Source organism: Homo sapiens, chromosome 5 (genome assembly GCF_000001405.40).
Source record: "Homo sapiens chromosome 5, GRCh38.p14 Primary Assembly".
Classification (NCBI taxonomy): Eukaryota; Metazoa; Chordata; class Mammalia; order Primates; family Hominidae; genus Homo; species Homo sapiens.
The window spans coordinates 50,663,578-50,678,189 of NC_000005.10; the positions used below are offsets into that span (position 1 = coordinate 50,663,578).

At 40.4% G+C, this 14,612-nt stretch overlaps 1 protein-coding gene across 14 annotated transcripts in view, besides 6 other annotated features; it reads left to right on the forward strand.

The window, feature by feature from the left end:
- Positions 1 to 2,353: 2,353 nt before the first annotated feature.
- PARP8 (poly(ADP-ribose) polymerase family member 8) overlaps positions 2,354 to 14,612 on the forward strand; it is a 180,589-nt gene continuing 168,330 nt past the window's right edge. For 4 of the 14 annotated variants that reach the window (XM_011543634.3, XM_011543643.3, NM_024615.4 and 1 more), the window contains exons 1-2: positions 3,060 to 3,609; positions 4,494 to 4,548. Coding sequence is in view for 10 of the 14 variants with exons in the window: in NM_024615.4 (NP_078891.2) it covers positions 3,519 to 3,609; positions 4,494 to 4,548 (146 nt within the window). In the remaining 4 variants the exon portion in view is untranslated. Of the gene's footprint in view, positions 2,493 to 2,523; positions 2,886 to 3,059; positions 3,610 to 3,836; positions 4,025 to 4,493; positions 4,549 to 14,612 lie in introns of those variants that run through there. The other 10 variants (NM_001427055.1, XM_011543632.4, XM_011543633.4 and 7 more) reach the window with 6 other exon arrangements.
- Positions 2,903 to 3,052: a silencer, noted in NCBI's record as "silent region_16000". NCBI's record gives its function as "represses an Ori minimal core promoter by ATAC-STARR-seq in GM12878 lymphoblastoid cells {active_cell/tissue: GM12878}" and the evidence as "EXISTENCE:reporter gene assay evidence [ECO:0000049][PMID:35858748]".
- Positions 3,103 to 3,162: a silencer, noted in NCBI's record as "silent region_16001". NCBI's record gives its function as "represses an Ori minimal core promoter by ATAC-STARR-seq in GM12878 lymphoblastoid cells {active_cell/tissue: GM12878}" and the evidence as "EXISTENCE:reporter gene assay evidence [ECO:0000049][PMID:35858748]".
- Positions 3,335 to 4,247: an enhancer, noted in NCBI's record as "NANOG-H3K27ac-H3K4me1 hESC enhancer chr5:49962746-49963658 (GRCh37/hg19 assembly coordinates)". NCBI's record gives its function as "activates a minimal SCP1, AML or CMV promoter by ChIP-STARR-seq in naive H9 embryonic stem cells {active_cell/tissue: H9 hESC(naive)}" and the evidence as "EXISTENCE:reporter gene assay evidence [ECO:0000049][PMID:30033119]".
- Positions 3,335 to 4,882: a biological region, named in NCBI's record as "CDK7 strongly-dependent group 2 enhancer GRCh37_chr5:49963094-49964293".
- Positions 3,683 to 4,882: an enhancer, noted in NCBI's record as "CDK7 strongly-dependent group 2 enhancer chr5:49963094-49964293 (GRCh37/hg19 assembly coordinates)". NCBI's record gives its function as "activates an origin of replication core promoter dependent on BRD2, BRD4, P300/CBP, MED14 and CDK7 cofactors, with strong dependence on CDK7, by STARR-seq in HCT116 cells {active_cell/tissue: HCT116}" and the evidence as "EXISTENCE:reporter gene assay evidence [ECO:0000049][PMID:35650434]".
- Positions 3,855 to 4,184: a silencer, noted in NCBI's record as "silent region_16002". NCBI's record gives its function as "represses an Ori minimal core promoter by ATAC-STARR-seq in GM12878 lymphoblastoid cells {active_cell/tissue: GM12878}" and the evidence as "EXISTENCE:reporter gene assay evidence [ECO:0000049][PMID:35858748]".

A 14,612-nucleotide genomic window follows, 5' to 3' on the forward strand; every position in this document is an offset into this window, starting at 1 on the left:
CCCAGCAAGGATGGTAGGCATTCCCATGGGCATTTACCACTGATGACACTATCATGCATATGGCAAAGAAGGCTGTTCCCCTCTTTGCTAATCCTGCCTCCTATCCTCTTCTTAATAACCATGGAATAGCAGAGGTCAGGCTTGTACTTTTCTTAAGACTGTACTAATGGCTGGGTCATTTGGGAAAGGAAGTTGAATGCAAGAAAGGGAAATATAACTGCCACTAGCAGAGGCTATTTTGAGAGTCCACAGGCTTCAGCCCTCCTCAAAATCCATCATAGGGCTTCTTGTCGGCTTCACTCCTGGCCTGCAGCCATTGGCGGGGCGGTTTACTTCCTCGTGTGGCTTCTGTACATATTTATTCCTTTAAGTTCAATTCAATTGCTGAAAGGTTTCAAGAGAGAAAAAAACTTCTTGTAGTCCATGTCTCACCTTAGATGAATTAACCCCTTTGAGCCTGTTTCCTCTTTTGTAAAATGAGAAAAATAACAGCTAGTATATACGGGTTATTGTGAATATTAAATGAGTAACTATATGTAAAGCTTTTAGAACAGTTTCTACCAGTTCTGGATAAATGTTAATGAATTCTGGATAAGTTCTGGATAAATATTAAGTTCTGGATAAATGTTAGTTATTAATACCCACATCACATTATTGAACTTAATGCCGCATGTCCATTACCTTATACTTCCGCAGTTGGGCCTTTTGGCACAGGCAAAAAATTTATATTTTTCACTAATAAATTATATCTGGTGGCTTTGAATCATTATTCTAAACCGGTGGAATTTTTTCAGTAGAGTCTATCATCCAACATGTAGATTATTATCTTCAATTTAGTTTGGGATACCACCTGAGTTCTCCCTCACTGTAAATATTGATTTTATTTATTTAACAAATTGGTGAAGGGCCTCTTATGTGCCACGTTCCTGAATGCATGTGTGTGTATGTTGTATACTCATGAGTGTTTAAGGAGAGATAGAACTGTTTCATCTCAAAGGCGCATATAGTTTTTGATAAGGGAAGTATGTTGAGCACACATAATATAAACATTTAAATATTCGGAGATGGGGCAAGGTAAAGAAAGGATCCTGGATATGGGCTGACTTACTTTGAGCAAAGTGCTCCATAAGGATCTAGCCTGGAAGATCCTTGGAAGGATCTACGTTGGTATAGTTTTTAATTAGAGAAATTTATCTTGCAGAAATACATACTAGATAGGTTTTTATTTTTTAATCTTACTCCTTCAAATGTACAAATATTTATTAAATACATCACACCTTAAGGGCATGAACAGGGTGAGGTTAGCTTTGTTTAACCAAAACAGGGCAGCCCATGAAGCTTAAAAAAAAATCAAATATAGGACAAGTCACAAGAAGGCCTATTTTAAGGAGTGAGTAGTAAACTAAGAGCTCATCCAGACAAAAAAATATTTGGTAGCTTTAAAACTATTTCACATTTATTTGTAGTAAGGGTTCTACTTGGAAGATGCAAGCCTTGTGGCTAGATAACTATAAAATAAATTCTTGTGAGTTAATAGACTTTCAGCCTTTCAGAGAAATTAAAGCACATAATGGAAGAAGAAATACTCATGATTCTCAGTGGTGATGTGGAAGAGAAGAGAGCATTTTTGGCAGCCAAAGGGCCTACACAAAGCAACATATCCAGGAAGGACAAAGGGCTTGAACCTGTCCTACCCTAAACAGGAAGCATTTCAGGAGAGGACTGAGCAGGAGATATAGACTGTTGTGACTGTGGCTTTACTACATCAAAGGCTGCAGTGGATCTCAATAATGCAGAATGTTTCCTTTTGTAACTCATAGTGAATATGACTGGACAAGGAAATTATTTTGTAATTTGTTTCCTGAAAGATAAAGGAGTTAGAACATAGGATCTTTCATTGATTCTACAGAATCTTAAGACTCCTTCAGGGATGGCAGTCATTCCTACCGTGCTGAACATCATGTTGTCACGGTCAGAATCAGAACTAAATTGATTAAGGGTCTGAAACAGTTTGGCAACTCTTGGGCACTTATGCTGATAAGAAAAGTGATGAGACAGGGTAATGAAAAGAGGCTGCAAGAAATGACCATTCGTGCATTCAGCCAACATTTAGGCCACCCTCCTGTATTCCAGGCACTGTACATGGCACTGAGTATGCAAAGCAAAAGGAGTCATGGTCTACTGGCGGGAGCCTTCTCAGTGGAGAAAAGATCAACAAGAAAAGTGCCTGCTGGAGACCTCTCCTAGGGCATAAACCAATATAGAGGTGGGGCAGCTACGTCAGCCTGGGGTGTCCTTAGGCAGAACAGAAAGTGAGAATCAGAGCAGTATCTCATTTCTGAACACCTGGATTGTAGCTTTCCCTTGACTGTCAAAGGAGGTGGTTTTAAAAATCAAGCCAAACAGGTTTCCATCTTTTAGGAAGACCCTGGAACGTGCCAGTTGATTCTGACCATTTCTCATGAACAGAAACACCTAGGAAGGGAGAACTGGTGAGTTTCAAGAGGAGGAAGTCCCTCAAAAGGGGCTGTGTTTCGTAAACGGCGCCCCAAAAGGGCTGAACTACTTCGATCTGGAGGAAAAAGACTCAGGCACTGAGGGAAGGGGAGGGTGCACGTCTGGAGTAATTTTAAGGCCTTTTCCGTGTTATGTGATGTGGCAATAAGGAAAGATTTGTTCGTTTTATTATTTTTTTAATTTTTAAAGATTTTCTTTTCCCCCCTTTTCCCCCTCCCAGCCACTCCGGTTTGGGTTTGCCACAAGACTATAATTCCTTTAGAAAGTGGAGTCGAATTCATAAAAGTGATGGGGGGAGGGGCGCGGAGAGGGAAGGCTGGGAGCCCCAGGGAGTCTTCACGACCGCTCAGCTCCCGGCGCGAGTGGAGGTCGGTGTGGGGAGAAGCGGCTCCCGCCCGGGATGGCTAATACTCTGCGAGCCCCGGCAGCCCGCGGCCGGCGGGGTGACTAGGCGGCGGGCGCGGAGGGTCTGCGGCGGGCGGGCGGCGCTGCAGCAGCCTGGGCACGGCTGCCGCCGCCCGCGGGCGCGAGTGTGCGCGGGTGTGGAAGGCCGGCGTGCGAGCCGTGAGGGGTGTGCGCGCGTGAGCCGGAGCGGGGCTCGCCCCTCGCCGGCGCCCGCCGCCCAGCCGGTGATTGCTCTCTGGCTGTCCCCGGCACCTCGGCCCCCACGGCCGTTGGTCCGGGCGGGTGAGGGAGAAAGTGAGACTTGGTGTCATCACCATCCATTGTCAGAAGGGGAGGAAATTGGAATCCAGCAGCGGCGAGCAGCAGCTGGGCGGTCACATCTGGGAATGCAAAGCCGACCTCCCCCTCCTCCTCCTCCTCCCCCTCCTCCTCCTCCTCTTCTCTCACCCAGGATCACTTCCGAAACCACTTCGCCTTCAGCCCCTGCCTCGGCCAGAGGTTTCATTTTTAACTGAATATTTACGAAAGCTGGAAGCGTGCGAGGGGGGTGGGGTGGGGTGGAAATAGCGGCTGCTTCTTTTCCAGGGATTTATTTAATGGGGATGTGTTCAAGGCAAGAGCGAATTCAGAAGGATATCGACGTCGTGATCCAGAAGTCCAGAGCTGAGAAGGACTGCCTGTTTGCAGGTGAGTTCTTGCTTTTCCAGAACCTCGGACCCAGCGCCCCCTTCCCAGTTTTCTGACCGCGACGTCTGTGGCTGGGGGTGGGGTGGAGGGTTGCACGTCCCCATTCTGGGGTTCATTTGGCAACAGCTGCTGCAACGAGCGCGGGAGCCAAAAGGGGGAGGGGGCGCCAGCCTCTCCCCTTCCCCTCCCCCACCGCCAAGTCTGAGGCAGCCACCAGCTTTGAGGGCAGAGCCCGCGTGGCCGGAGCGGGGGTCTAGGCGAAGGGGCAGTGCGTGGTATTTCCAGCCCCGCGTAGTGCCCGAAGCCTCCAAGCACGCTTCCTGGGTTCCAGCAGCGGCGGCAGAGCGGGGTTGGTTTGCGCAATGGGCTGAGCGGCGGCGGCCGGGAATGGAGCCTGCTGCGCTGCGCTGCGCTTGTAAGCTGCGCCCGGCGCCGAGGACCCCCGGGGGGCAGCGCTCGGCCCATCTCCGGCCCCTTCGGCTCCCTCTAGTCCCCTCCGACTGGCAAAGAGAAGGGATTCCTCGGATTCCCAAGGCACCCAGCGCCCCTGCCTGGGGGTCGCCTTTCGTCCATTTTGCTCCCCCGGGATTTTGCTTTCGCTACCGCGAGCCCGGCTGAGGCTGCTTCCGGCCTCCCCTATCGGGAAATTCCCGCTGTTGCCATGGCACCCGGCACTTGTTGCGGGGGGCGGCCTCCCGCTGCACCCAGTCGGGGGCGCGCCGCATCCCCTCGGACGCGGCGCAGAGGGACCTCGCCGCCCTCTAGCCCTTGCCTTCTGCCCGGCCAGGCCTCCCCTGACACCACCGAATGTGGGGCTCAAGTCCTGATCGGGGTTAAAACAAATCCACTCCAGGGGTAGCTTTTGACGGGACTTTCTGTTTCAGATTTCAGATACTCTGACTCCACCTTTACTTTTACCTACGTTGGCGGCCCCAGAAGGTATTTATGTGTATAGAGTTGCTTCATTTCCTGTTCACACTCTTGTGTTTCCTTTGTTCTTAGCGTGTTCCGTGTTCGGGTATTTTGGTTGCTTGTTTGTTTGATTATTGTGGCTTTTCTTTACCTGCTACCCAAGCCTGACGTCCCTCGGTTTTAAATAGCAGGAGGAGGGGAATCAATGTTTGATTCAGGTGTTTCGAGGACCACGCCACAGGCAATGAGCAGAACTCTTCATGTTGAAACTGTTCTGCTACAGTACTAGATTGCTCTCAGGCGATTTGGGGTTGATACAGGCACGCCGGTGCAAAACTGGAATACTGGATATGAAGTGAAATGTATAAAAGACATAAAATGTCACAAAATAGTTTGATCAGAAGTGTTGATTTTCCTGGTGAGTTGGGGCTGCGTGTTTCCATGTTTTCTGAAGGTTTACATAAACATGCAGCCTGCCAATTCTCTGTACATTTTTTTTTCAATGAGTGGTATTTCGGTTTTCACGTATAGAAATTGGAGACTTATATGTAGCTGGAGTGGATGACTTCTTTCTTTTGGGGGAAGAATGAGAGATGCACATTTCGTTAGTAAATTGTGAACAACTTGAAACAAACCCAAATCCAATTTTGAATTTAGGAAGTAGAGTTAAAATGAAAGGTAGCCATTCAAATACTATGCCTTGCTACCTTCACTTGTTGAGTTAGGATTTTCTTCCTTTTAGCCCTTTAGGGACACAGTAGTTTAAAAGAGCAGTAGCCACATATGAGAAGTACCAGATTTAGCTTAGAGGGAATTCCTTAGACCAGCCCTGCTGTTAGGACTTGACATTCAATATTGTTTGATCACATTCCAAAATATATCTTAGCTAATGGAAACATTTATAAACATATAAATTGCAAAAGAAGCTTTCTTGTGTACATACATTTTTAAAAGCTTGAAATTGATGTGAACTTTTAAAAACACGTAGGATCTGTATTACATTATACATCTCAAAACATTTAAAGTGAATATCATTCCAGTATATGCAATATACCTAAGCCCCAGAATTAGCACATTGATTTACTAGTTGAAAATATAACAGTGAATCACCAAACTTAAGTGTATACTTTTTGGGAGAGAATGAAATTACAGTATTTCTTAATTTACTGTAATGTCATCTTTGTAATTATGAATTAATAATTCAATGAGAGGAGACTTGGTTGATTAAATTAACGCTGGTCCTACACATTATATCTAAAGGATCTTCGTATATGACTAATATCCTCTTGGATTATTTTAACAGTTAAAATATACAAAGTGGCCCATTAAAAACAGAGTTGACTTTTCACTATTGCTGTTTTTCTGGTGAGACATGTGGACAGGAAGGACAGGTGGGCTTTTCAAGTAACTAGCTTTCTGATTTTTAATAAGATACCTCAGTTCTTTTGGCCTCAGTTTACTTATCTGTACAATCAAAGGGTAAATCATATGCTTAATCACTAAGATCTGTTAGATACTGCAGTTAAGATTCTTTATCAGCAAATTATTGGACTCTAGTGTTAACATAGCTAGAGGTGGAAAAGGGAGCAAGGCCAGGTGTTGGGATGAATAATTAAGCGAGATAACATCAGTTTTCACCATAGGAAGAAGTACCATGGTTGCTCTTAAAGTAAGAGATGTTTCCTATTTTATGTAATTTTATTAAAGGATAGTGTTTTCTTTTGTCACTGATTTAAATGTACCTGGCTGTTTCTCAGCCATTTGGCTAAGATCGAGCACAAGTGTACCTGAGCCTTTTATATCTAATCTAATGTAGACCAGCCTGTTAAAAGAGAAAGACAATTGGTTAAACTGCTGATGTGTTGCTTTGTCTTCTCAAAAGCTTGTTCTAAAATACAATATGTAAAAAGTTGTTACAGTGTAGTAACCGTAGATAATCCCTTTATGATTTGTACCTAATGGCGAATACCTTTTATTTTCTGAAAATAACGTATTTGTTTTCATTACCGACATTATAAACCAATATTTATTAATCTATTTCTTATCCTGACATTTCAGTCAGACTCTTAAAATAATCTTGCTGTGTTTTGATTTAATGTGCTTATCAACTTGTAATATTGAATTAATAGTATCATTTTAGGTGAACTAGACTTTATTGAAGGAGGTGGGAGCCTTATGGAGAGAGAGTATATGATTATCTCTATTTGTATTTAACTACCATTTCATCTAACCATTAAGAACATATTTCAAGAATAATTTTAATTCAAGTTGTAGATAAAACTTACTATACCGTTTTCTTTTTGATGCTTTCCAAGAATGAGATACATGGTATTTTAAAGACAAAGATTGATCTTACATGTTACTATTAAAAAAAAATAATAATTTTGTTCTACATTTATACTTTTAATTTTTCTGTGGATAATAAGAAATGCCAAGAGGCGATTGTGTCCATGCTGGCAAGTGGCCTAATAAATTGTCCTTTTATTTGGTGGTCCTCAGAGTGGCAGTTAACATCTTGCTATTCTGCCTTGTGGACTTGAGGTGGAAAGGTTCATGGAATTATATCCTTGCTTTTGGATGTGCAAACTGAGGCTCAGAGAGTTTAAGACACATAGTCACTTTCATCAATTAAATGTTGAAGCTGCCATGTAAACCTGTTCCATCACACTCCTGAGACCTCCTTCTTCTCCATTAGTGTTTTCAAGCTTTTTGAGCATGCAGACACTTTACCATCAAAAAATTATGTAGAGACATAATTGAGAGTTACAGTTTAAAGAAAAACAAGGTGTAATTATTTGGTTATAAGTAGCATTTACATATGCTTGAAAACTTGTGCTATATATACGGTAAGATTAATTTATTCTAGCAATGATCTTGATAATCCCCCTGATTCCCAGACTCCTTGGAATAGCTCCACAGCTATCAGTGGTTCTGCCACAGGTTCAGAGCCTTCCCAGTACTGCCTTCTTATTTGAGAGGTGTGCTAAGAACTATAAAGCAGAGGCTTCAATTGTACACAATTTGGAAGTTTAGGCAAAAGTCATTTCTTCCCTATACTTTGTCATACTTATCTTCTGTCTCTTTCTGTTTTACTGATTAGCAATAAACTCCTTAAAACCCAAAGGTTTGGGCTTCTGTTCCTTTCACTTGCAGTCAGACATGGAGTTAGTGGTAGAAGGAACAGAAGGGGTAACCTGCATGGTGACAGCTACTGAGGGGATGGATAGGAAAGCAGGCTGAGTCCCTGGGGCCAGTGGTTACCAAAGCCAAGGAGAGAGCAAGTGGAGCCCAGTGGGCCTGGCCATGGACTGCTCTGGAATTCCGAGTGTGAACTTTCAGCCAGGAATGTATTGTGAAAGTATAACTCTGAGGTTTTAAAAGTACACAAATAAGAATTGTGTTTTGTAAAAAAAAAAAATAAAAAAAAAGTTAGAAGAAGAAATACGCCAAAAAGAAGAAAGTAAAAAATACATGACTTCTGTCTTCTGTTAACATATTAAAATTTATTCTTTTAGATTTTTATGTGTCTATATACATATAAAATATATATGCATCCCCAAATTGTATTAATACTCTTTTGAGACCTCACATTTTTTTCACCCAAGAATATAACATTAATTTCTTTCCTTTAGAAAAGACATGAGACTAAAGAATGTTTATTAAGTTGAGAGTTTCCCAATTAAGGAGTATGACTCTGTATAATAATAAAGCTAATGTTTTATTAGAAATTATAATAAAATTAGAAATTTAATATTTGGCAGGATGTGTGTTGCCTGCATATGTACACCCTTTATTATATGACTGGACACTCTTTTGTGTGGTCATGGATATATTGGCATCTTTTGAAGTGTATCCTTTTTGTTTCAGGAGCTTCCGTCTAGATAAATAGCACGCGTGACACTAATAATAGTAATGGAATATTCCTTAAAGCACAGGCTCCTTCCTCTTTCTCCTGAGCCTTTGCACATGCTGCCTGGAAAACTCACCCACAACCTGCTTTCCATCCTCTCCTTTGGCTCATCCCTGCTCAGCCCTCTTTGTTAAGATATTTGCTAAGCCAGATTCTCTGAGAAGCCTTTCCTGGCATCTTCGTCTGTATGATTCTGCTAGGTGTTTCTAAAACCATGTCGTTACAGTATATTGTAATCGCCCATTTATGTCTGTTTGACTGTGAGCCTCTTGGAGATGGGAATTCTCTCCTATGCGTTGCAGTTTCCCCAGCCCCTAGCACACTGTCTAGCCCAGTATTCTTCTAAGTAAGTAGGTGTTGAATGACTTACAAAATGAATGCTAAAAGACCTGGCAGACAAGAAGGAATTTCCTGGCCTAAATGACCAGATGTGGAGAAGATACTCAGACACTTCAGGGTCCCCAATCTGGTGATGTCACTTGCAGTGGAATTTCATACGAATCCAGTGTGACAGAAGTTGCCTAGTCAAGTTATAAGTCCACTTCTCTGGGTCACATGTGCAAATACTTTTAGGGGACAGATAATGCAATATTTAAGATACTAGGGCGTGATGAGGACTGTGACACAGTGGAGAGTTTGGACTCCAAGGGTAATTAATTCAGTTGAAAAAATCAACAGCACTCTGTTGATCAAGCAAACTTTCTAGGGGCCCTAATCCACCTGGGCCCGCAGTGTGTAATTCCATAACTCATGGGATGCCATCAGGAGAGACAATCTACTTGATTGCTAAAGGGCCTTTGTTTTCTTTGGAGTTCCCCAGAAAGGAGAAGTGTATGTGTGTGCAGGGGTGAGGAGGGGGAGGGTGAAGAAGCAATGCTATCCCCTTAAAAAGGTTTGTCAATTTTCATTATGAAAGATCAGACGTGCCCACTCCAGAAATCTTGGCATATACAGTTACTTTGAAGCCATTCAGTGTTCTTCAAGATGTCACAATGAAAACAGTGATGATTTTTTAAATAAAAAATTAACATATTTCTCTTGGCAATGGGACTTTCTCACCATACTTTTATGTTATATCACTTATTATATATTCAAAATATTGATTTTTTAAAAGTGTGTTCCTTGGAGTCCTGGGAACCTGCCTCAGGAGCTGGGGTGGCTGTGGGGAGGGAGTGTGAAGGGAGCTGAATGAGTTAGTGAGAATCTGGGTCTTCATATCTTTTTTAAAATTGCAGCTGCTTTTTTCTGTTCTGTATAACAACTCTTTTTGAAAACAGTTTCATTGTTGAGTTTTAAAACCACTGACCTAAAATAACCACCAATTTAACATAAGTATAACTTTATTGAGTTTTTTTGTATTAAAATTTAAACTCCATTTTCTTCATGGATTAAGGTGATCCTATAGTGATATTTATTAAGCATCGTCTCTGCTGTTCTCTTTGCTTGCCTTGCTTTATCCCGTGTTTCCAAAAAACACAAATAAGTATTTTGTCAGCTGTTTTACGTTTTATAGCAGGAAAAACAGAGGCTTGGGTGATTTAAGTAAGTTACAGTTAGTAAGAGCCATAGGATACATTTCAGTGTAAGTCAATGTTTATGTAAGACTTAAGGGACATTGGTTGAATTGGCATGGCTAGAATAGTTGGGAATGTTTGGGAATGGGGAGAGATTGCTAATGGGATGTCTGCCAGGGGCAATACTGAAAATCTGCTGGTTGGCAAAGGTAGTGCCTGAGCCCAGTGCTAACCATAATAGTTGGAAAATTATGTACGTTGGCTGTGGAATCCTTATGCAAACATTTGGCAAATCCATGTAAATTTCCCATCATTTCTCTCTGCAGCATTTTTAAAAAGACATATAGCTGAAATTTTATCAATCCTAAAAATATTTTGTAATTATCTGCCCAGATTTGCATTTGGGTAGATTGTGCTGTAGAAGATATATCTTGCTTTAAGATAGCTGCCACTGATTATTTTAGTCTATTTTAATCAACTTATTGCCTTGTAATCTTTCCTTTTTCATTCTCTAAATTTCTGAAATTCCATCTTTCGTGTTCCCCAGGAAAGACTAGTAAGATGTGTTTTTATTAACAAGACTTACTATCCTCATTTCACCATGACATAAGTTGGGCTTTCTGTTCCAATTTATCCTACTTGAATGGTGGACACTTCCACCTGAGTATTTGTCATTTTCACCTCAACCCCAGCACATTAAAACAATCCCTTCTTAGCTCTTTAAAAGAAGCTTCTGTCTCCAGCCTTTTCCTAGTCAGTATCACATCTTTTGAGCCCGGTATGGGGATTACAGTTTCAGATTTCACCTCAAGTCTTCCTCTTCTGGTTCCTGAAGCTCTGCCAACCTCTACTTTGAAACACTGTTGGCCTCTTCATCCCATCCCATGTCAACATTTAGCCCATGCCCTGTTGGCTTTGACTTAGATCAATCGCCTTAACCTAGTGTCTTAAAATTCTTGATTTTGAGTTTCTTATCCATCCAGTTTATTTACACCTGAACTCTTTAAGCATGAAATTAATCATTCATCTGTTCAGAAGCCTTCAAATGTGACCACAGCTTTTTCCATATAGACCTGAAACTTAACATTCTTGGCCTTTGAGAGCTGCCTTCCCTATCCACTGATACATGTTTCTCATGCTTCCTAACATCTACATGCTTCTGTTTGCTTAGTGACCACCCCCCGCCCACTCATCAACAGTTTGTATTAATTTAGTGTAAAGCTGTGTAAAGTTTATTGATTGATAACATCTGTGTCAAGATCATGGTTTTTATCACAAAGAGCAGTTCATTGTATTTTTTCCTTGCCCACGAATGACATCTCTGTTCATTAGAATACATAACGTTTTACGCATAGGAGGATAGAGTGAGAATATGAGTAGAACAAAGTAAGAATAAGAGGAGAGGATAGTGAAATTTGAGGATAGGATGAGAATGTAAATAGATTTATGTCCATCCATTACAAGATTAATAACCACAATGACAAAAGTCTTGAATGTTATTTATTTGCATATGAGTGATATTTCAGTTTGTGGCTGATACCCTCTTGGTATTAAATGGAAGATGACAAATCATTCAATATTAATTTTAGAGGGAGACATCTATTGAAACCTTTGTGCAGTCAGGTCAAGTTTCTGTGTACAAAAATTAGCAGAGAGGTTGCTGCTGGTTGACTTCCCCTAGGATGGTGTCTTTCTGAACATTTTGAAATGTAGATTGAAAAGGTGGATTTGTCAACTAACTCTGAAGTGCTGTAGTTATTTGTGTTTTCATCATTGTTTTATTGTTTATTTTATTTTTGAGATGGAGTTTTCGCTCTTGTTGCCCAGGCTGGAGTGCAGTGGCCTGATCTTGGCTCGCTGCAACCTCCGCCCCCCGGGTTCAAACGATTCTCCCGTCTCAGTCTCTCAAGTAACTGGGATTACAGGCACACACCACCACGGCCGGCTAATTTTTTTGTATTCTTAGTCGAGACGGGAATTCACCATATTGGCCAGGTTGGTCTCGAACTCAGGTGACCTCAGGTGATCTGCCCGCCTCGGCCTCCCAAAGTGTTGGGATTACGGGCGTGAGCCAGCCATGGCGCCCGGCCTGTTTTATTGTTTAAAAAACAAGTACAGGTTGTTATTATCCAAGAATTGTTGATAGAATATATACTGTATTTGAAGTGTAGAACCAAGGCAGAGGCTGATTAATATAATTAGTTTACATTTGTTAGCCTTTCACATCTGTGAAGGAATAAAGTACAGACAAAAGTGGAAAACAAACCAGGAAAAAAAAATTGTTAAGCACAGAGCTGCTTAAAAGAGTGATGTCACATTAAAAAAAAAGTCGCAGAAATAAGTCAGTATTTTGTTTAGAGACTAGAACTCCAACTCCTAGCCAACTGCCTAGAATATAGTAAATATTTCTAGTTTCTTAAATGACTAGTAATATTCCTACATTATGTGATGGCATTTCCCAAACTGTTTAATTAGATATTAGATTTGTAGCCAAATATGTCTAGGAAATGCTTAAACAATATAAAACAGTTTTAATGATTGGCTTTTTAGAATGTTATATATTAGTGTGCTTTATGCATATCCAAGATGTGAGTGAAGTATTTGGGGTTTTTCAGACTTACTTGATTACAGATCTGGAGTATCTCAAAACAGTTGTTTTGCGGAAAACACTTTGGCAAACTCTGAGTCTTATTCATTAAAAATAGTTTTTGGGTAAACAACAGTGTAATAGAAATGGAAATTACTGATTCATATTGAGCCGGGAAGAATTTATTTTCAGCAATTTTTATAGAAGTTGCTTTATGACAAAGAAAGCTTTGGTTAACTGGCATTTGGCATTTCATGCCCCTAACTTTTCTACATGAGGGTGTATTTCTCTGGTTCTCTCACTCTCTCACTAGTTATACTGAATTCATTTATGTTAAGGGCTCTCAACCTTTCTTATTCATCAAAGCCCTGAAGTTGGCAGAGCCCTCTCTGGTACCTGATTAGAAGTCCGTCTTCCGTCTCATAGGGAAGTGTTAGAGATGGATAATGATTCTGTGTAGCAGAAGTACTCATTATGTCCTCTTAAATTCGGTCACTTTGACTGCAGTAGAGCTTCTTAGTGAGCAGTCTATGTTGGAGTGTACTTTCAGAGAAGCTCGTGGTGGGGGAAATCTGGAATTTGTCTAAATATTTCATTTCTTTGATAAATTACATTAAAAAATCAATGAGAGTATCTATTTGGTGAAATCATTTTCCTCCATGTGACCAAATGAGAAATTTAGTGAAAGATTTAAAATCATTTCTCAGACTTTTTCCACATTAGTCGGGAAGCAAACCCCTTTTTTAAGGCAATGTCAGTTATTAAGCTTTAGGGAACCACATGCCACTTTAGGTAACAGATGATTGGAGAGATTGAAGAGTGAAGTCCCTGCTTTAAAGTGTACTCCTGTGGACACAGTAATACATATACTTAAAATGGTTCATGTTAAGAGTAGGTATATTTCTATCTAAATACTCTGTAGCTTTTGTGATTCAGGAAAACGAGTGGAGCCTCACAGGCACAAGAATCTAGTAAATTCTAGGTTTCTTGTGTGGAAATCAGTGTGCAAAATCTTAACGGAGTGAATTCTTGATTGTTGATATCACATTTGTTAGTCTGTATGTATCTGTGTCATTGATCTCCTTAAGAAGAGACTCGTAGATATTGACTGGGAGACCTAAGCTGAATGCTAAAATCTGCTCCATGGATATAAGCTGATGCAGTCATCATTTCTCATTAAAATGCATCACAGCTAGATATGCAGCAAAAAAAAAAAAAAAAAAGTTAGTCCCTCCAGCTGAAAAGCGGTCATTACTTTATTATCACCACAGAATTTGAAATGATTTCTGTAGTTAACAGTCAGATTTTATTTTTAGTTAACTAAGACAAAGTTTGAATAATTCACTGTGAGACAAATTCTTTCTTGATTTTTCTTTTTGGAGCAGTCCATCGTTATGGGAAAACCAGCCTAGAATGGTGATTTCAGTTTCAGTTAGGTGATTTCAATGAGAATTGTATTTGGCTCAGAAATGATGAGACTGGGGCCAAGAAAAATTTTAAACTTATTTTTTTTGTAATCATATTGCTAGTTTGATTTCATATGAACTTCCTTTGTTGACTTTCTGTGCCATTAATTTAAAATTTCCAGTATCCTCAATATTTGATGTCTTACATGTACAGAATCCTTTCCAGCTGTAAGTCGTCAGCAAGTAAAAAATTTAGTATGGCGATAGTTTTCATAAGAGGTTTTTTAAAACAGAAAAATGTTGACATTGCCAGCCTCTGGGTTGCATTTAGGGATATGCTACATTTCAAAGGTATCTTTCTGAAGGCAAAGACTTTTTCAACATCTGAATATTCTGATTTACAGAAATTAAAAAAAAAAAACCCTGTACATTATACAGGCATATACATTTGAATCAGGAAAATATAAAATTAGCTGATTATTTTTATTCAGTAAAAGTGCCTTGGCACAGAACTAAAATTGATAACTTATGGTTTTAGAATGTAGATAAGTACATGAGAGTAAATCACATTTTTATATGAATAAAAATATCAACTTTATTCATATATAGATTATAAAACTATACTAAACAAAAAGTAATTATTTACTATTACAAAAATTATTAAGAACCATTAC